This window comes from Homo sapiens, chromosome 12 (assembly GCF_000001405.40).
Source record: "Homo sapiens chromosome 12, GRCh38.p14 Primary Assembly".
Classification (NCBI taxonomy): Eukaryota; Metazoa; Chordata; class Mammalia; order Primates; family Hominidae; genus Homo; species Homo sapiens.
Genome location: NC_000012.12, coordinates 40471018 through 40492618, shown reverse-complemented (window position 1 = coordinate 40492618; position 21601 = coordinate 40471018). Strand labels below are relative to the sequence as shown.

The 21601-nt window shown below is 43.8% G+C and overlaps 1 protein-coding gene and 1 pseudogene across 1 annotated transcript in view, besides 1 other annotated feature; one reads left to right on the top strand and one right to left on the bottom strand.

Moving 5' to 3' along the window:
• Positions 1-21601, bottom strand: part of MUC19 (mucin 19, oligomeric (gene/pseudogene)) — a gene marked incomplete in the record, with an annotated part of 177364 nt that overhangs the window by 78139 nt on the left and 77624 nt on the right. The window contains 6 exon segments of the mRNA NM_173600.2: positions 1314-7214; positions 7216-13566; positions 16954-17049; positions 17422-17523; positions 17758-17859; positions 19380-19478. Coding sequence (NP_775871.2) covers positions 1314-7214; positions 7216-13566; positions 16954-17049; positions 17422-17523; positions 17758-17859; positions 19380-19478 — 12651 coding nt within the window.
• On the top strand, positions 12510-13466 carry LOC100420584 (microtubule associated protein 6 pseudogene; annotated as a pseudogene).
• Positions 16984-18183: an enhancer, noted in NCBI's record as "MED14-independent group 3 enhancer chr12:40868238-40869437 (GRCh37/hg19 assembly coordinates)". NCBI's record gives its function as "activates an origin of replication core promoter dependent on BRD2, BRD4, P300/CBP and CDK7 cofactors, and independent of MED14, by STARR-seq in HCT116 cells {active_cell/tissue: HCT116}" and the evidence as "EXISTENCE:reporter gene assay evidence [ECO:0000049][PMID:35650434]".

Below are 21601 nucleotides of genomic sequence, written 5' to 3'. Positions count from 1 at the left end.
CAATTATTTTCTTGCTTTAAGCTTCTTCATTTAAGGTTTATTTCCTGATAAAATCAGCACTGTAAAGACAATTTGTTTTCCTTCCATCCTAGTCCTAAAACACCTAATAAAATATAAGGTCCTAAATACTATTAGGTTGGTGCAAAAGTAATTACGGTTTTTGCCATTACTTTTGCACGAACCTAATAGATGATTTGGATCTGACTTTCTGATTTCCTTATTTACAATATACTCATTACGATAATTACATTGATCAGAAAACCTTATGTTCAGTTTGGGAGGCAAAGGCAGGCAGATCATTTGAGGTCAGGAGTTCGAGACCAGTTTGGCCAACATGGTGAAACTCTGTCTCTACTAAAAATAAAATAAAAATAAAAATAAAAAATAGCCAGGCATGGTGGTGCGTGCCTGTAATCCCAACTACTTTGGGAGGCTGAGGCATGAGAATTGCTTGAACCTGGGAGGCGGAGGTTGCAGTGAGCTGAGATCTTGTCACTGCACTCCAGCCTGGGTGAGAGTGAGACTCTGTCTTTAAAAAAAAGAAAAAGAAAAAAAAAAAAAAAAAAAAGAAAACCTTATGTTGAGCTACAGTTGGGACCAAATTCTTCCAACCCCACTTGCCTGATTTTCCAGGTGTGGTTAATCTGGTCCTGCTTTCACCTGCTCCAGGGGTAGTTCCATGTGGTTCTTCAGTTTTGCCTGGTTAAAGCACTAATTGATTATCAGCTTTACATGGTTCATCTTAGTAAATATAATGAACTTACTGCCCCTTATGTAAAATTCAAATTTAGACATTGATAAATCTAGGTCATCTCTTAATCATTTCTCCACTATTTAGGTCCTTGGTTAAATCATAATTGATTCGTCTTACGATCATAATTGGACGTCTCAGCCACGCTTATGTTGGACCACACCACAGTACCCAGGTGAGCTGTGCCTGCTGGGTTCCCAACTGTAGTGGCCCGAGTCTGGTCCTCCAGCTGTGCATCCCTTGCCAACACCTACAGTAGTCCTCATGAAAACATAAACTCAAAAAGTCTAAGGAATCTATAATATTCTGGAAAGCCCCCATCATTGTTCACCAATTTGAGTTCTTAATAACATATTTAATTGTGATAAATTTACACAGATTCAAGTCTGGAACACCAAAAATTACGTTATTCACATTAAATGACCCATCTTTAGCTAACTAGATTTGCCTTCAGGGGCTGTAACCTTACTTCCTGGCTCTCCTGTAGTTCTTCCTATTACAGTGGTTGTGCAAACTGATGGTTCAGTTGTCCCTGTCACTCGAGCTGGTAGTCCATTTGTACCTGTTATTCCAGCTGATGGTCTAGTTGTCCTTGATTCTTCAACTGATGTTTTGGTTGTTCCTGTTTTTCCAGCTGATGGTATACTTGTCCCAGATTTTGCAGATAATCCAGTTGTCCCTGTTACTCCAGCTGATGATCTAGTCTTCCCTGTCACCCCAGCTGATAGTCCAGTTATTCCTGTCACTTCAGCTGATGATCCAGTGGTCCCTATCACCCCAGCTGATAATCCAGTTGTCCCTGTCACTTCAGCAAATGGTCCAGTGATCCCTGTCACTCCAGCTGATAGTCCAGTTTTCCCTGTTGCTTCAGCTGACGGTCCAGTTGTCCCTGTCACTCCAGCTGATAGTCCTGTTTTCCCTGTCACTCCAGCTGATAGTCCACTTTTCCCTGTCACTCCAGCTGATAGTGCAGCTATTCCTGTCACTCCAGCAGATGGTCCAGGTGTCCATGTTACCCCAGCTAATGGGACAGTTGTCCCTGTCACTCCAGCTGATAGTCCAGTTGTCACTGTTGCTTCAACTGACAGTCCAGTTGTCCCTGTCACTCCAGCTGATGATCCAATTGTCCCTGTCACCCCAGCTGATAGTTCATTTGTCCCTGTCATTTCAGCTGATAGTCCATTTGTACCTGTTATTCCAGCTGATGGTCCAGTTGTCGTTGATTCTTCAACTGATGTTCTAGTTGTTCCTGTTTTTCCAGTTAATGGTATACTTGTCCCTGCTTTTGCAGATGAAACAGTTGTCCCTCTCAATCCTGCTGATAGTCCAGTTATCCCTGTCACTCCACCTGATGATCTAGTTGTCCCTGTCACTCCAACAGATTGTCCAGTTGCCCCTGTCACTTCAGCTGACTGTCCAGTTGTCCCTTTCACTCCAGCTGATGATCCAATAGTCCCTGTCACACCAGCTGATAGTCCAATTGTCTCTGTCACCCCAGCAGATAGTCCAGTTGTCCCTGTCACTCCAGCTGATAGTCCAGTTGTCCCTGTCACTCCAGCTGATGGTCCAGTTTTCCCTGTTGCTTCAGCTGATAGTCCATTTGTACCTGTCACCCCAGCTGATGATCCAATTGTCTCTGTCACCCCAGCTGAGAGTCCAGCTATCCCTGTCACCCCAGCTGATAGTCCAGTTGTCCCTGTCACCCCAGCTGATAGTCCAGTTATCTCTGTTGCTTCAGCTGATAGTCCAGTTGTCCCTGTTACTCCGGCTGATACTGTAGTTGTCCCTGTCACTCCAGCTGATGGTCCAGTTATCCCTGTCACCCCAGCTGAGAGTCCAGCTATCCCTGTCACCCCAGCTGATAGTCCAGTTGTCCCTGTCACACCAGCTGATGGTCCAGTTGTCCCTGTTACTCCAACAGATTGTCCAGTTGTCGCTGTCACCCCAGCTGATAGTACAGTTGACCCTGTCACACCAGCTGATGGTCCAGTTGTCCCTGTCACTCCAGCTGATAGTCCAGTTATCTCTGTCACCCCAGCTGATGATCCAATTGTCCCTGTCACCCCAGCTGATAGTCCAATTGTTTCTGTCACTCCAGCAGATAGTCCAGTTGTCTCTGTCACCCCAGCTGATGGTAGAGTTATCCCTGTTGCTTCAGCTGATAGTCCAATTGTCCCTGTTACTCCAGCTGATACTGTGGTTGTCCCTGTCACTCCAGCTGATGGTCTAGTTATCCCTGTCACCGCAGCTGAGTGTCCAGCTATCCCTGTCACCCCAGTTGATAGTCCAGTTGTCCCTGTCACCTCAGCTGATAGTCCACTTATCCCTGTCACCACAGCTGATAGCCGAGCTGTCCCTGTCACTCCAGCTGGTGATCCAATTGTCCCTGTCACCCCAGCTGATACTCCAGGTAGCCCTGTCGCTTCAGCTGATGGGCCAGTTGTCCCTGTCACTCCAGCTGATGGTCCAGTTGTGCCTGTCACCCCAGCTGATGATCCAGTTGTCCCTGTCACTTCAGCTGATGGTCCAGTTGTCTCCATCACTCCAGCTGATAGCCCAGTTTTCCCTGTCACTTCTGCTGATGGTCCAGTTTTCTCTGTCACCTCAGCTGATAGTTCAGTTGTCCCTGTCACTTCTGCTGATAGTTCAGTTTTCCCTGTCACTACAGCTGATGGTCCAGTTGTCCCTGTCACTCCAGCTAATGATCCAGTTGTCCTTGTCACTTCTGCTGATAGTCCAGTTGCCCCTGTCTCTTCAGCTGATGGTCCAATTGTCCCTGTGACTCCAGCTGATAGTCTAGTTGTCTCTGTCACCACAGCTGATGATCCAATTGTCCCTGTCACCCCAGCTGATAGTCCAGTACTCTCTGTCACCCTAGCTGATAGTCCAGTTGTCCCTGTCATCCCAGCTGATAGTCCAGTTGTCCCTGTCACTTCAGCTGATAGTCCATTTGTACCTGCTATTCCAGCTGATGGTCCAGTTGTCCCTGTCACTCCTGCTGATAGTCCAGTTGTCTCTGTCACCACAGCTGATGATCTAATTGTCCCTGTCACCCCAGCTGATAGTCCAGTTGTCCCTGTCACCCCAGCTGATAGTCCAGTTGTCCCTGTCACTCCAGCTGATGGTCCAGTTGTCCCTGTTGCTTCAGCTGATAGTGCATTTGTACCTGTCACCCCAGCTGATGATCCAATTGTCCCTGTCACCCCAGCTGAGAGTCCACCTATCCCTGTCACCCCAGCTGATAGTCCAGTTGTCCCTGTCACCTCACCTGATAGTCCACTTATCCCTGTCACCACAGCTGATGGCCAAGTTGTCCCTCTCACTGCAGCTGGTGATCCAATTGTCCCTGTCAACCCAGCTGATACTCCAGGTAGCCCTGTCACTTCAGCTGATGGGCCAGTTGTTCCTGTCACTTCAACTGATAGTACACTTGTCCCTGTCACTCCACCCGATGGTCCAGTTGTCCCTGTGACTTCAGCTGATGGTCCAGTTGCCCCTGTCTCTTCAGCTGATGGTCCAGTGGTCCCTGTCACTCCTGCTGATAGTCCCTTTATCCCTGTCACCACAGCCGATGATCCAATTGTCCCTGTCACCCCAGGTGATAGTCCAGTACTCTCTGTCACCCCAGCTGATTGTCCAGTTGTCTCTGTCACCCCAGCTGATAGTCCAGTTGTCCCTGTCACCCCAGCTGATAGTCCAGTTGTCCCTGTCACTCCAGCTAATGGTCCAGCTGTCCCTGTCACTTCAGCTGATAGTCCATTTGTACCTGTTATTCCAGCTGATAGTCCAGTTGTCCCTGTCACCACAGCTGATGATCCAATTGTCCCTGTCACCCCAGCTGATAGCCCAGTTGTCCCTGTCACTTCAGCTAATGATCCAGTTGTCCCTGTCACTTCTGCTGATAGTCCAGTTGCCCCTGTCTCTTCAGCTGATGGTCCAATTGTCCCTGTGACTCCAGATGAAAGTCTAGTTGTCTCTGTCACCACAGCTGATGATCCAATTGTCCCTGTCACCCCAGCTGATAGTCCAGTACTCTCTGTCACCCTAGCTGATAGTCCAGTTGTCCCTGTCACCCCAGCTGATAGTCCATTTGTACCTGCTATTCCAGCTGATGGTCCAGTTGTCCCTGTCACCCCAGCTGATAGTCCTGTTGTCCCTGTAACTCCAGCTGATGGTCCGGTTGTCTCTGTTGCTTCAGCTGATAGTCCATTTGTACCTGTCACCCCAGCTGATGATCCAATTGTCTCTGTCACCCCAGCTGATAGTCCAGTTGTCCCTGTCACCTCAGCTGATAGTCCACTTATCCCTGTCACCACAGCTGATGGCCGAGTTGTCCCTGTCACTGCAGCTGGTGATCCAATTGTCCCTGTCACCCCAGCTGATACTCCAGGTAGCCCTGTCACTTCAGCTGATGGGCCAGTTGTTCCTGTCACTTCAGCTGATATTCCACTTGTCCCTGTCACTCCACCTGATGGTCCAGTTGTCCCTGTGACTTCAGCTGATGGTCCAGTTGCCCCTGTCTCTTCAGCTGATGGTCCAGTGGTCCCTGTCACTCCTGCTGATAGTCCATTTATACCTGTCACCACAGCTGATGATCTAATTGTCCCTGTCACCCCAGCTGATAGTCCAGTACTCTCTGTTACCCCAGCTGAGAGTCCAGCTATCCCTGTCACCCCAGCTGATAGTCCAATTGTCCCTGTCACTCCAGCTAATGGTCCAGTTGTCCCTGTCACTTCAGCTGATAGTCCATTTGTACCTGTTATTCCAGCTGATGGTCCAGTTGTCCCTGTCACTCCTGCTGATAGTCCAGTTGTCCCTGTCACCCCAGCTGATAGTCCTGTACTCTCTGTCACCCTAGCTGATAGTCCAGCTGTCCCTGTCACCCCAGCTGATAGTCCAGTTGTCCCTGTCACTCCAGCTGATGGTCCAGTTGTCCCTGTTGCTTCAGCTGATAGTCCATTTGTACCTGTCACCCCAGCTGATGATCCAATTGTCTCTGTCACCCCAGCTGAGAGTCCAGCTATCCCTGTCACCCAAGCTGATAGTCCAGTTGTCCCTGTCACCTCAGCTGATAGGCCAGTTATCCCTGTCACCACAGCTGATGGCCGAATTGTCCCTGTCACTGCAGCTGGTGATCCAATTGTCCCTGTCACCCCAGCTGATACTCCAGGTAGCCCTGTCACTTCAGCTGATGGGCCAGTTGTTCCTGTCACTTCAGCTGATAGTCCATTTGTCCCTGTCACTCCACCTGATGGTCCAGTTGTCCCTGTGACTTCAGCTGATGGTCCAGTTGCCCCTGTCTCTTCAGCTGATGGTCCAGTTGTCCCTGTGACTTCAGCTGATGGTCCAGTTGCCCCTGTCTCTTCAGCTGATGGTCCAGTTGTCCCTGTCACTCCTGCTGATAGTCCATTTATACCTGTCACCACAGCTGATGATCCAATAGTCCCTGTCACCCCAGCTGACAGTCCAGTTGTCCCTGTCACCCCAGCTGATATTCCAGTTGTCCCTGTCACTCCAGCTAATGGTCCAGTTATCCATGTCACTTCAGCTGATTGTCCATTTGTACCTGTTATTCCTGCTGATGGTCTGGTTGCCCTTGATTCTTCAACCGATGTTCTAGTTGTTCCTGTTTCTCCAACTGATGGTGTACTTGTCCCTGATCTTGCAGATGATCCAGTTGTCTCTGTCACTATAGCTGATAGCCCAGTTATCCCAGTCACTCCAGCTGATAGTACAGTTGTCCCTGTCACCCTAGCTGATGGTCCAGTTGTCCCTGTCACTTCAGTTGATATTCCAGTTGTCCCTGTCACTCCAGCTAATGGTCCAGTTGCCCCTGTCACCCCAGTTGATGATCCAGTTGTCTCTGTCAACCCAGCTGATGGTTCAGTTGTCCCTGTCACTTCAGCTGATTGTCCAGTTGTCCCTGTCACTCCAGCTGATGGTCTGGTTGTCCCTGTCACCCCAGCTGATAGTCCAATTGTCCCTGTCACCCCAGCTGATAGTCCAGTTGTCCTTGTCACCTCAGCTGATAGTCCAGTTATCCCTGTCACCCCAGCTGATAGTCCAGTTGTCCCTGTCACCTCAGCTGATAGTCCAGTTATCCCTGTCACCACAGCTGATAGCTGAGTTGTCCCTGTCACTCCAGCTGGTGATCCAATTGTCCCTGTCACCTCAGCTGATTCTCCAGGTAGCCCTGTTACTTCAGCTGATGGGCCAGTTGTCCCTGTCACTTCAGCTGATAGTCTACCTGTCCCTGTCACCCCAGCTGATGGTCCAGTTGTCTCTGTCACTTCGGCTGATGGTCCAGTTGCCCCTGTCTCTTCAGCTGATGGTCCAGTTGTCCCTGTGACTCCAGCTGATAGTCCAGTTGTCCCTGTTACCACAGCTGATGATCCAACTGTTCCTGTCACCCCAGCTGATAGTCCAGTTGTCCCTGTCCCTCCAGCTAATGGTCCAATTGTCCGTCACTTCAGCTGATAGTCCATTTGTACCCGTTATTCCAGCTGATGGTCTAGTTGTCCTTGATTCTTCAACTGATGTTCTAGTTGTTCCTGTTTCTCCAACTGATGGGATACTTGTCCCTGATCTTGCGGATGATCCAGTTGTCTCTGTCACTATAGCTGATAGCCCAGTTATCCCAGTCACTCCAGCTGATAGTCCAGTAGTCCTTGTCACCCCAGCTGATGGTCCAGTTGTTCCTGTCACTTCAGTTGACAATCCAGTTGTCCCTGTCACTCCAGCTGATAATCCAGTTATCCCTGTCACCCCAGTTGATGATCCAGTTGTCCCTGTCACCCCAGGTGATGATCCAATTGTCCCTGTCGCTTCAGCTGATAGTCCAATTGTCTCTGTCACTCCAGCAGATAGTCCAGTTTTCCCTGTCACCCCAGCCGATAGTCCAGTTATCCCTGTTGCTTCAGCTGATAGTCCACTTGTCCCTGTTACTCCAGCTGATATGGTAGTTGTCCCTGTTATTCCAGCTGATGGTCCAGTTATCCCTGTCACGCCAGCTGAGAGTCCAGCTATCCCTGTCACCCCAACTGATAGTCCAGTTGTCCCTGTCACCTCAGCTGATAGTCCAGTCATTCCTGTCACAGCTGATAGTCCATTTGTCCCTGTCACTCCAGCTGATAGTCCAGTTATCCCTGTCACTCCACCTGATGATCTAGTTGTCCCTGTCACTCCGACAGATTGTCCAGTTGTCCCTGTCACTTTAGCTGACTGTCCAGTTGTCTCTGTCACCCCAGCTAATAGTCCAGTTGACCCTGTCACACCAGCTGATGGTCCAGTTGTCCCTGTCACTCCAGCTGATAGTCCAGTTATCCCTGTTACCCCAGCTGATGATCTAATTGTCCCTGTCACCCCAGCTGATAGTCTAATTGTCTCTGTCACCCCAGCAGATAGTCCAGTTGTCCCTGTCACCCCAGCTGATAGTCCAGTTATCTCTGTTGCTTCAGCTGATAGTCCAGTTGTCCCTGTTACTCCAGCTGATACTGTAGTTGTCCCTGTCACTCCAGCTGATGGTCCAGTTATCCCTGTCACCCCAGCTGAGAGTCCAGCTATCCCTGTCACCCCAGCTGATAGTCCAGTTGTCCCTGTCACCCCAGCTGATGATCCAGTTGTCCCTGTCACCCCAGCTGATAGTCCAATTGTCCCTGTCCCTCCAGCTAGTGATCCAGTTGTCCCTGTCACCCCAGCTGATACTCCAGGTAGCCCTGTAGCTTCAGCTGATGGGCCAGTTGTCCCTGTCACTTCAGCTGATAGTCCACTTGTCCCTGTCACTCCAGGTGATAGTCCAGTTGTCCCCGTCACTCCAGCTGATAGTCCAGTTTTCCCTGTTACTTCTGCTGATGGTCCAGTTTTTCCTGTCACTCTTGCTGATGATCCAGTTTTCCCTGTCACCCCAGCTGATGATCCAATTTTCCCTGTCTCCCCAGCTGATAGTCCAGTTGTCCCTGTCACCCCGGCTAATATTCCAGTTGTCCCTGTCCCTCCAGCTAATGGTTCAGTTGTCCCTGTCACTTCAGCTGGTAGTCCATTTGTACCCATTATTCCAGCTGATGGTCTAGTTGTCCTTGATTCTTCAACTGATGTGCTAGTTGTTCTTGTTTCTCCAACTGATGGTATACCTGTCCCTGATCTTGCAGATGATCCAGTTGTCTCTGTCACTACATCTGATAGCCCAGTTATCCCAGTCACTCCAACTGATAGTCCAGTTGTCCCTGTCGCCCCAGCTGATGGTCCAGTTGTCCCTGTCACTTCAGTTGACAGTCCAGTTGTCCCTGTCACTCCAGCTGATAGTCCAGTTATCCCTGTCACTCCAGCTGATAGTCTTGTTGTCCCTGCCACTCCAGCTGATGATCCAGTTGTCTCTGTCACCCCAGCTGATGGTCCAGTTGTCCCTGTCACCACAGCTGATATTCCAGTTATCTCTGTCACTTCAGCTGATAGTCCTGTTGTCCCTGTTACCCCAGCTGATGGTCTAGTTGTCCCTGTCACTTCAGCTGATAGTGTAGTTGTCCCTGCCACTCCAGCTGATTGTCCACTTGTCCCTGTCGACCCAGCTGATAGTCCAATTGTCCTTTTCACCCCATATGATAATCCAGTTGTTTCTGTCACTTCAGATGATAGTCCAGTTTTCCCTGTCACTCCAGCTGATAGTTCAGTTGTCCCTGTAACCCCAGCTGGTGTTCCAGTTGTACCTGTTACTCCAGGTGATGGTCCAGTTGTCCCTGTCACTCCAGCTGATAGTCTAGTTGTCCCTGTCACTTCAGCTGACAGTCCAGTTTTCCCTGTCACCCCAGCTGATAGTCCTGTTTTCCCTGTTAGCCCAGCTGATGATCTTGTTGTCCTTGTCACTCCAGGTGATAGTCCAGTTGTCCCTGTCTCTCCAGCTGACAGTCCAGTTGTCCTTGTCACTCCAGCTGATGGTCCAGTTGTCCCTGTCACTCCAGCTAATGGTCCAGTTGTCCCTGTCACTTCAGCTGATAGTCCATTTGTACCTGTTATTCCAGCTGATGGTCTAGTTGTCCTTGATTCTTCAACTGATGTTCTAGTCGTTCCTGTTTTTCCAACTGATGGTATACTTGTCCCTGATCTTGCAGATGATCCAGTTGTCCCTGTCACTCCAGGTGATGATCCAGTTGTCCCTGTCACTCCAGGTGATGATCCAGTTATCCCTGTCACTCCAGCTGATGATGGTCCATTTGTACCTGTCACTCCAGCTGTTGGTCCAGTAGTCCCTGACCTTACAGCTGATGATTCAGTTGTCCCTGATTCTTTAACTGACGATCCAGTTATTTCTGTTTGTCCAGATGATGGTCTAGTGGTCCCTGATACTGTAAGAGATTGTACAGTTGTCCCTGATACTGCAGCTGATGATCCAGTTGTCTGAGTCACTGTAGGTGATTGCCGAGGTGTCACTGTCACTCCAGCTGATGGACCAGAGGTTTCTGTGTATCCTGTAACTGGCCCTGTTGTCACTGATTCTGCAGCTGATTGTCCAGTTGTCTCTGTTCCTCTAACTGATGGACTTGTTGTACTATGTCCTCCAGATGAAGTTCCAGCTGTCCATGATTCTGTAACTAATGGTCTGGTTGTTCCTGATCCAGTAATAGATGGTCCAGTTTTCTCTAATCCTTCAGTTGATGGTCCAATTGTCCCTGTAGCTTCAGCTGATAATCCAGTTGTTCCTGATCCTATAAGAGCTTTTCCAGTTGTCCCTAAGCCATCAACATTTAGTCCTGTTGTTACTAGCACTCCAGCTGATTGGATAGATGTCATTGTGACTCCAGCTGATTGTGCAGATGTCCCTGTCAATCCAGTAAATGGTCCTGTTGTCCCTGATCTTTCAGGTGATTGTCCAGTGGTCCCTGTTCCTCCAACTGACGATATAGTTGTACTTAATCCTCCAGATGTAGTTTTTGCAGTTGTCTCTACTCCTGTAACAGATGGTCCAGTTGTCACTGATCCTGCAACAGATGGTTTAATGGTTCCTGTTACTCCAGCCAATGGTTCAGTTGCCCCAGTCACTCTATCTGAGTATCCAGATGTAACTGTCACTCCAGCTGATGGTACAGTTGTCTCTCCTACAATAGGTGGTCCAGTTGTCCCTGATCCTTCAGCTGATAGTTCAGTAGTCTCTAATCCTACAACAGATGGTCTAATTGTCCCTAATCCTTTACTTGCTGGTCCAGTTGTTCCTGTCACTCCTACTGATGGTCCACTTGCCCCAGTCATTCTAGCTGATTGTCCGGATGTCACTGTCACTCCAGCTGATGGTCCAGTTGTCTGTGCTTTTACAACAGGAGGTCCAGTTTTTCCTGATCCTACAGCTGAAGGTCTAGTTGTCTCTAATCCTACAGTAGATGATCCAGTTGTCACTAATCCTTCAACAAAAGGACTTGTTAGTGCCACTCCAGCTGATTGTGCAGATGTCCCAGTCATTCCAGCTGATTGCCCAGATGTTCTTGTCAACCTAGTAAATGATTCTGTTGTCCCTGATTTTACAGCTGATTGGCCAGTTGTCTCTGTTTCTCCACCTGATGATCTTGTTGCACCTGATCCTCCTGATGAAGTTCCAGTTGTCCTCGTTCCTATAACAGATGGTCCAGTTGTCCCTGATTTGACAACAGATGGTCTTGTTGTTTCTGTAACTCCAGCTGGTGCTCCAGTTGTCCCAGTCTTTCTAACTGATTGTCCAGATGTCACTGTCACTCCAGCTGATAGTCCAGTTGTTCCTGATCCTTCATCTGATGGTCCAGTTGTTGCTGATTCTCTTGATGATGATGGCCTTGTCCCTGTCACTCCAGCTGATGACTCAGTTGTACCTGATTCACCAGCTAATGGTCTAGTTGTTCCTGATCCCACAACAGATGGTCCAGTTGCCCCTGATCCTTCAGTTGATGGTCCAGTTGTTCCTGTCACTCCAGCTGATGCTCCAACTGTTTCAGTCACTCTGGCTGATTGTCCAGATGTCACTGTTACTCCACCTGATGGTCTAGTTGTCTCTGATTCTAAAAGAGGTGGTCCAGTTGTGACTGGTCTTTCAACAAATGATCCTGTTATCACTGCAACTCCAGCTGATTTTTCAGATGTCACTGTTACTCCAGCTGATTTTGAAGATGTCCCAGTCACTCCAGCCAATTGCCCAGATGTTCCTGTCAATCCAGAAAGTCCAGTTGTTTCTGATCTTGCAGTTGATTTTCTGGTTGTCCCTGTTGTTCCATCTGATGATCTTGTTGTACTTGAACCTCCAGATAAAGTTCCAGTTGTCCCTGATCCTATATCTAATGGTCTAGTTGTTTCTGATCCAATAACAAATAATACAGCTGCAACTGATCCTTCAGTTGATGGTTCAGTTGTTCCTGTCTCTCCAGCTGATGGTCCAGTTGCCCCAGTCACTCTGGCTGATTGTCCAGATGTCACTATCACTCCAGCTGATGATTCAGTTGTTTCTGATTCTAAAATACGTGGTTGAGTTGTAGCTGATCCTTCAACCAACAGTCCTGTTGTCATTGCCACTCCAGGTGATTTTTCAGGTGTTGTCACTCCAGCTGAATTTGAAGATGTCCCAGTCACTGTAGCAGATTGCCCAAATGTTCCTGTCAATCCAAAAAGTGGTCCAGTTGTTTCTGATCTTGCAGTTGATTGTCCAGTTGTCCCCATTCCTCCACCTGATGATCTTGTTGCACCTGAACCTCCAGATGAAGTTCCAGTTGTCCCTGATCCTATAACTGATAGTCTAGTTGTTTCTGATCCAATGACAGATGGTCCAGTTGCCTCTGATCCTTCCATTGATGGTATAGTTGTCCCTGTTGTTTCACCTAGTGGTCTACTTGTACTTGATTCTGTAGCTGATGGTTCAATTCTTCCTGATACTTCAGCTGATGTTCCAGTTACACCTGCCACTCTAGCTGATGGTTCAGTTGTTCCTGATTCTGCACCTGATTGTCCAGTTGTCCCAGTTCTTCCAACTGATGGTTTTGTTGTGCTTGATCTTCTGGTTGATGGTGCAGTTGTTCCTAATCCTGCAGATGTTGGTCCAGTTGTCCCTGATCCTACAACAGATGGTCCTGATTCTATAAAAGATTTTCCAGTTGTCCCTGATCCTTGGCCTGATTGTCCAGTTGTTCCTGTCACTAGAACAGATGGTCCTGTTGTCCTGGATTCTTCAGCTGATGGTGTAGTTGTTCCTGTCACTCCAGGTGATGATTCAGTTGCTCTTGTCACTCCAACTGATAATCTAGTTGTCCCTGATCTCACAACAGATGGTCCAGTTGTTCCTGACCCGTCAGCTGATGGTCCAGTTGTCCTTGTTTCTCTAGCAGATGATCTACTTGTACCTAATCCTCCAGTAAAAGACACAGTTGTCCCTAATTCTGTAGCTGATAATCCAGTTGCTCTTGATCCTGTAACCGATTGTCCACTTGTCCCTGAACCTTCAGCTAATGGTCTAGTTGTCACTGATTCTCTTGATGAAGGTCCAGTTGTCCCTGATCCTTCAGCTGATGATCCAGTTGTCCTTAACCCTGAAACTAATGGTCTGGTTGTCCCTGATATTTCAGCTAATGGTCCAGTTGTCCCTGATACTCCAACTGATGGTTCAGATGCCACCGTGACTCCTGACGATTGTTCAGAAGTCCTTGTCACTGCAACTGATGGTCCAGATGTTGTATCTGATTGCCCCATTGTCCCTGAAACATCAGATGATGATTTAATTGTCCCTGGTATTTCAGATGATTGTCCATAATTCCCTGTTACTTTAGCTGATGGTCCACTTGTGTCTGTCTGTCCGGTCGATGATCCTGTTGCCCCTGTCACAAACACATAGTAAAAGCAGAATGATATTAATAGCTGTTTTGGTCCTTGGTTAACCTTTAAGACTCATGAGGCTTTATTTCTCTAGTACAGCTTTTATACCTCTTCATCTCCATAACCACCATATTATTTCATACTTGTCTTTTTGCTACATTGTAACTTCTTTTTAAAAAAAGAGTCTCACTTTGTTGCCCAGGCTGATCACAAACTCCTGGGTTCAAGTAATCTTCCTGAGTACCTGGGACCACAGTGATCTTCACTGTGCCAGCTCTAGCGTAACTTCTTTCTGTTTGTTTATTTTCATAAAAATCATTTATCTAATGTCTATTGTGTGTCAAAGAAGTTGTCAGCAACTTACAGGTATCACTTCATTTTACCATTAGATTAATACTATGAGATATATAATATTTCTTTTCTCTTTTATAAAATAGAAACTAAAGCGAGATTAAGTAGCTGTTCAAAGGGGATGCAGATAAACAGTTCTCTGCTCCGTGGGGCATTCTAGTGGGAAGAGAGAGGTAGACATAAATAAAATAACTAGCCAACCAATAACCAAATTCACAAACAAGAAAAGCTTCAGAGCATTAATATAAAGTGAATTGATACTACAAAATGGGATGTTCTATTTTAGACTGTCTGGTTAGCAAAGGCTTCTGTGAGAAGATGGTCTTTATTCTGAAGTCTGATAACAAGAAGCAACCTGCTAGTGAAGCTCTAGGAGAATGGCATTCCAGGCAGAGGTAACAGCCAGTACAAAGGTCGTAAGTCTGATGGAGCTATGCTTGCTAGAAAAGCAGAGCTAGAAGTTGAGTATATCTGGATAATGGGAGCTGAGGCGGGGAATATTATAAGGTAAGGTCAGATATGTAGGAGCAAGCGAAATGTTATGAATCAGGGGAGGAAGACTGAAGGTTTTTCTAAATGCAAGGGGCTATAATTTTAAAGAGGGGAGAAATAGCATAGAATTGATATACATTTAAAATCCCTCTTTACACTCTGTAGAAAATATATGGCAGGGGGTGCATCATAGAATTAGGAAGAACAATTATGAGGTGATTTCAGAAGTTCTGACAATTTATGAGTGGCTTGTGCTGAAACTGTGATAAAGGAGACTGAGAATAGTGGATAGGGTCAAGATATGTGTTGGAAGTAGCAGTAACAGGCCTTGTTTAGATATGAGAGGTACAAAAAAAAAGAGAGCCATCAAGGATAACTACAATATTTTTACCTGAGTGAATTGAGTCAGTGATGGTAACATTTTCTAATATGGGGAAGACTCAGAGAACAGATGTGAGCATAAAGGGAAATCCAGTATCACCCAGAAGGCTCTGGTTCTGAAGATCCTAATATATCAAGAATACCACTAAGGAACCAGATGAAGATGGAAACCTTGGATCTGTAGAGACATGGATCTGCACAGTGGTGTGTCTATGTGTGTATGGGTACATGTTTCGAGTGAAACTCCACTACTTGGGTAGAGCAGAAAAGAGTTCACTACCCCCTGACAGCTCCAATCCTTCCAGAAGTTTCCCTTCCATGTGACCTGTTATTTTACCTCACTGATAAGAATAAAACCACTTCATCCTTTACCAGACTGGGAATTACTATTCACTTATTGAATTATTTACCAGATATCCACCAGATATTTATCAAGTACCCAAACCAGGAACTGAGCTATGCACTAGGAACACAACTGTAAACAAAAATAGGCAACGTGACAAGATCTTTCTCTAGTTTTAACAGAAATCCACCATGTTGGTGGTCTGTCTAGTAAAAGATAATGACTGGATGAAGAATCAACAATCCAGGCCCTGACCTGGCCTAACAACATACTTATCCTGTGATTTTGGGGTAAACACATGGATTTTTTCATAGATAAAATGTGAATAATTACTAATATATTATTGACTGCATAGGGTGTCTGTAAGATTCAAGTAAGTTAATATATGTGAAAACATTTGTCCATTTTATACTTTGTATAGTTGTTTTCTGATGATCATTTTTACTTTTGTTAAAACAGATTAAGATAACTTATACATGATATTATATAATGGTTAATGACTGCTTCATATGTTTATATTATAAATAATATTGTATTAAATATATCCAGTAGAAACTAAGATATAAGAATGGTTTTATCTACTAATTTTTATCCTACTAATTATATTTTTCAGGCACTTTTTTGGCTTATTTTCTGAGAAGTATTCAAATATTAATAAATAAATTGATTCGTAATCTATCTCTTTGGTCATTTGAAGCAAGTTAAGTCTTACAAGACACAAACATTGTTTAGCAAGGGATCTGCAACACCCATTGCATAGTTTACATATTTCCTCAACAGGTCAGCTTTGAGCAAATGAGTTATAGACAAACCCTACTTGCAAATTCTAGAAAAGAAGACTTTTTAAAAACCCATGTGTAGAGGTTTTAGGAAGAAAACTGATTTCTGAATGTTTCAACAATTCAGAAGACAGTGTTGCTTATTAAATTGTTCTTAGAAATGGGGAAAGCTGTTCATCAAGGTTCTAGGTCTCTGTTCAATAAAGAGCATATGGGAAAATAGGCTAATACTTTAAACCACAACAATTTCAAATACTAAAGACAGTGGTGTTTTGCAAAAGATTGCAAAAAAAGAATTCTAGTTTGAAATTTGAATATTCTTGCTGATGTAAGGTAACCTTATAATGCCCAACAGCATATTATATTATTCGTGGCAGAGAAGAATTTATTGAATTCTCAAATGTTTGTACTATGGGAAAATCATATAATTAATTAATGATCTGCAAAAATAACTAACATATTATTTTGTAATTATTTAGTATTTTAGCCTATATTGAATTATGTTAGCTTGTTGTCTAAATGATTTTGTGTGGAAAAATGCAGAACTTAGACAATGAAATTGTAACTAAATGAGCAAATACATCCTAAGAAGCCCTTAACTCCAAAACAATAATTATGGACCAACCATGAGATAAAGTGTTAGAGGGTCACTATTGCTTTTTTTTTTTAAAACTTAACTCCATTATGGTTGTATCAAGTAACATTCCAGTGATTTCTAAATTGGCCATGTGACAATATCAGATTTAAAATGCTGCACTAGTCTAGTTTAATAATGGAAAATATCTAAATTATCAGATCATTTTTATTATATGTGATTTCAGGTATTGCACTAATTGATATCCCAATAGTGCATAAATACTGAATAACAAAGCATACAATGGCAACCTCTTTAAAGGATTCACAGAATATTTAAATAACAGTGCTCTAAGTTTCAAGCAGGAAAGATTTTCAACTGAATTAATACCCTACTGAATAAGCTTTTATAAACAAATTTCTACACTGACTCCCATTTTTGTGACCTTTTAGTGCTTTGCTAATCTCACCTGGTGTATTTGAAGCGCCCGTGCTGGTGCCACTGCTGGACCATCCAGATGTAATTTTGCCTCCACTAGTTGCACCACCTGGTGTTCCAGGTGTACCTGTGGCAAAGGCAAAAATGGAAAGGACGCATTCACAGAATTTCTTAAGCTATGATATAACCAATTCTCACTTAAATTAACTTCCACCTAAAAATTACAGAAATCTTCATTTTTCTGTATCGATAACAATAATGATCCTTTCCACATTTGAAAAATGTACTTTGACTTACACTATTCACTATTTTCTTGGCTCCTCATCCCAAGTTCACAAAATAGATCACTTTGACCCACATTTTACAGATACAAAAACAGAGGTTACAGAGGTTAAGTGATTTACTCGCTTAACAACATGACATTGATTCTGAGGAACAGTATTCACACGAACATCCCATATTGCCCCTTGGCAAGTGCAGGGTCTCCCATTTTACCTACCTGGTTTGCTTCCAGAGATTGTCACTGCTGTGGCTGAGGCTGCATCGGTGTGTTTACTCACAGGGCTACTGGTAGTTGAGGCAGCAGATACTGTTGGGGTCCCTGGTTATCAACAACAATGGTTCAGGCTCACTGCTGCAAATGTACTGGTCCCTATTCTGTGCTGATAGCACAGAACTGAGATTTCTAAAGTATAGTGGATTAAGGGCATCTCCCCTATGCTTTCCCTTTGTTCTGACACTTTTAATGTCAGTTATAGCCTGACCAATAGTCCACATCACACACTTCTGAGGAAGGCAGGGTTGAGAACTGTTAAGGAGTCATGTCCAGACTTGCCTGATTTTCCAAAACTGGTGTTTCCAATGTCTGCTTCCCCAGGGGTGCTGCTACCTGGAGCTCCAGGAGTTGCTCCAGGTGATACCACAGGTGTGCCTGAGACTTTCAGAGAAAACAAACAGTTTAAGAAACTCGCTTTTATTCAATCACTGTGACCTGAAACAACTTGGAAATCTCTTCCAGAATATTTATACTCATAGTTTCTTGCTCAGGAAGAGTATACATGTTAATCTGATAAGGCACTATTACCCCATCACAATCCTTATTTGCCTTCAACACTGAATGTGCCTCTTTCTAGAATTATCTACAAATTATAATTCCAGAGTAAATTCTTCTCCAAACTGCATTTACCATTTGCTGTATTACTTAACTTTTTGCTTTTTTCATGTGTTTAAATATTACTTTATTCTAAAAATTCTAAGCTTTGTAAATATAAGAGCATCTTCTGGCACCTAACACATTACTAAGCTCTCAATAAATACTGTCCGACCAAAATACAAGTGTTTGTGTTAGAGTAGGCAGATAGCCAGAAATGAGCAGGCAAGGGAGCCCCCTGGGAAAAGAAGTCCTGGAGACGCTGTCAACTCATAGTCAGTGCCGCCTTCTGACAGGCAGCAAAAAAAGACAACAGCTACACTGGCTACTTCTGGCCTTGTGATTGAGCTCCTCTTGCCTTGAAGGGGACTTACCAGGCCCCAGCTGGAGATAATCAGGTTAGGGACTTTCCTCACTGAGGAGCATGCACACTCCTCCAAAAAATTGTCCTGGAGTAGACTTTTGCTCATTATAAGAGTAAAAAGCACATCCCTGGGTGGAGATTTTAAATGCTAATGAGACATACAATGTGTGTACCAGCATGTACAACGACAGAGCATGCGCGCCCAAAGAGACATCCTGAAACATGCATGCAAGTAATACACCCCTCACGCCCCTTCATGAATAATCAGGTAAGATTCTCATAAAAGCAGTCCCCCAGCACTAGCTGCTGCTGGCTCATTCTTTTAAGCAGCCCACTCTGCCTTGTGTTTCAGAGTGTACTTCATATTTAAATAAACCCTGCTACTACTATTTTTTCAGCCCTACCAGCTCAGAACTGTTTTCCACTCCTCTCTAAGAATGTGCTTCATCTTCCTTCAATAAACTCTGCTACTTAATCCTTGCTATGCATCTCTTGGCTGAATTATTTCTTCCAAGTTAGAAAAGAATCGAGGATTCCCACACTTTTCGGTAACATTTGCATTTATCTATTTACAAGTACTGAATTCTTCATAATCTCTTTTGATAAATTAAATTTTGAAATCAGAGCTCACACTTCTGCTAATTAAACATAATTTTAGATATAAATAATATTCCAAATGTGACTTCACGGGAAGCTAAAGTGGTTGTGGCATCTGATCTTCCAGTTGTATCCAATTTGAAAAATAACGAGGTTCTGCCTATAGATTGTTGCCATGCTGCAAATGCTTTTTGACAAAAGTTCATTATTAAACATTACTGCTAGAATTTTCCTCATTCTCTTATAATTAACTTCTTTTTTTAAAACTCACTTGGACTTATGCTAATTATATATAAGACCTTTGTGTTTGACCATTGCTCTGACAACTAGATGTGCTTTGTCTTACCTGCTGTGTTACCAGGGCCAGTGTCCCCAGTACCTGATGTTCCAGCTGTGTTTCCACTGCCTGCGCTGGTGGTGGCTTCCACAGACCCTTCTGTTGAACCTGGTCAACATACAAAGGCAGCTAGGATTACATTAATTTCCAAAGTTTCTAGGAAATTAAGGCAACTGTTAAACATTCTTAGACATCCCCATTATTTATCCTTTTGTCTGAGTATTTCAATAGCTTTGTTTCTGATCAGTGTAATTGATTTGAGTGAATAAGCTTCTGTGATTATTTAGCCATTTACTCGATACTAAATCCCAACTCACTGCCTAGCATCCCAGTCATTCTTCCTGCCAGTGTTGTCAATTCACCTGATATTCTGGTTGTTCCTGTTTCATTTTGTTTTGTTTTGAAGAAGAGGGAGGAGGAGGAAGAGGAGGGGGAGGAAGAGGAGGATAAAAGTAATATGATAAAATTTGTTAAACTCAACTTGGTTATTTATGATGTTTCCATGGCTACTTTCACCACCCAAATTCATGTCTTCCTTCCTCCTACCTAAAATATTGCAATTGTTTCCTCTTTATCCAATTAACAGGTCAATATTCTTCATCACAAATATATTCTCTGTTCGAGAATATTGAATGATAGTAATTCTTCAACATTAATGTGTGTAAGAATCATCTGGTGAGCCTATTAAAAATGCAAATTCCCTATCTTTCCAAGCAGAAATTCTAATTCTATTTTATAACATTGAAGAGGTTGGTCTTGTATTGCAATTAAACTCCTATATTCACTTTCAGTTTGCAGAGCATCCAGAGGATGAAAGAATAAGTTAATTGACATCATGGAGAATAGCTAAATTTAGAATATCTAGAAAGGGATATAAGAACTTGATTAGTTTCAGGTTCATCATTTTGGGCAGGAATAATTTCTAGGTGATATATCACAAAAGGAGACACAAAACATCAAGTCCCCACTATCAGTGATGCTATGTTTGATCACTAGGTTTAGGTGGTGACAACCAGAACTCTCCAGTGTAAAGCATTTTTCAATTCTGCAATTAGCAAGTAATCTGTTGGGTGATACTTTGGCATCAAGCAAACATCCAAGTCCTAGTCAACCTTTCACTCAATGATTTCAGCATTTATTTATGCTCCTTGTCTATTTCATTCAGCATTTCAAAACAGTGATTTTTCCAATTGTGTCTTTTTTCAACATATATTAGTTGGAATTTTTCTTTAAAAAGAGAGATTTCTCTGATCAACTGGAACTATTCGAATATCTTGATCCATAGTTTCTAATAAAAATACTTGATAATTGATTAATTTTTCTCTTGAATTACCAATCTTCAGAATAAGGACTTGACATGATAGTCACCACTAACATTATCAAATGTTGCTGTGGTTGTTTCTTTTTATTAATTATCATTGGGGTCATGTATGTTTCAATATTATCAATGTGCCTCAATCTATTACAAATAATTTTTTCAGTGCTCAAAATTCTCCAAATTTGGCCAACAGGAACTCATGCAGTTTAGCACCCTTGTCATTTAGGCAGAGCTCCCTAAGTCTTTGAATGCTTCCTCATTTTCTGACTTAAGAAGTCCCAAGCTCACCTTGTACTTTTCTTGTCCAAGACCTAGAATTAACCATTTCTCCAAGCAACAGTGAACACAGAAATTTAGGAGCCCAAACTGGCTGACAAGGGGTGCACACTACTGTTAGGGTACCACTGCTTTTAGGCCATTTCAGTGGCCAGAGATGGAAGATATAAAGACAAATAAATATATAGATAATAAATGTATTATATTGGAAGATATAGATTTCCATATATTAGAAGTATATATATTTATACCTATATTTGAGTATATCACATATATTTGTAATAAGTTTGTATATATTTCTAATATACAAAAATATACATTTTCTATATATATCATATATTTAGATTTATATAAATGGTATATATAAGTTTATATATATATTTCTCACTCAAATGGAACATTACAGAAGAAATTTACTTTATTTGATTTCTTTTCTTTTTTTTTTTTTTTTTTTTTTTTTTTTTGGAGATAGGATCTCACTCCTTCTCCCAAATTGGATTGCAGTGGTGCAATCACTGCTCATTACAGCCTCGACTTCTGGGCTCAGGTGATTCCCCACTTCAACCTCCCAAGTAGCTGGGATACAGGCATGTGCCACCATGCGTAGCTAATCTTTTGTATTTTTTTTTTTTTTTGT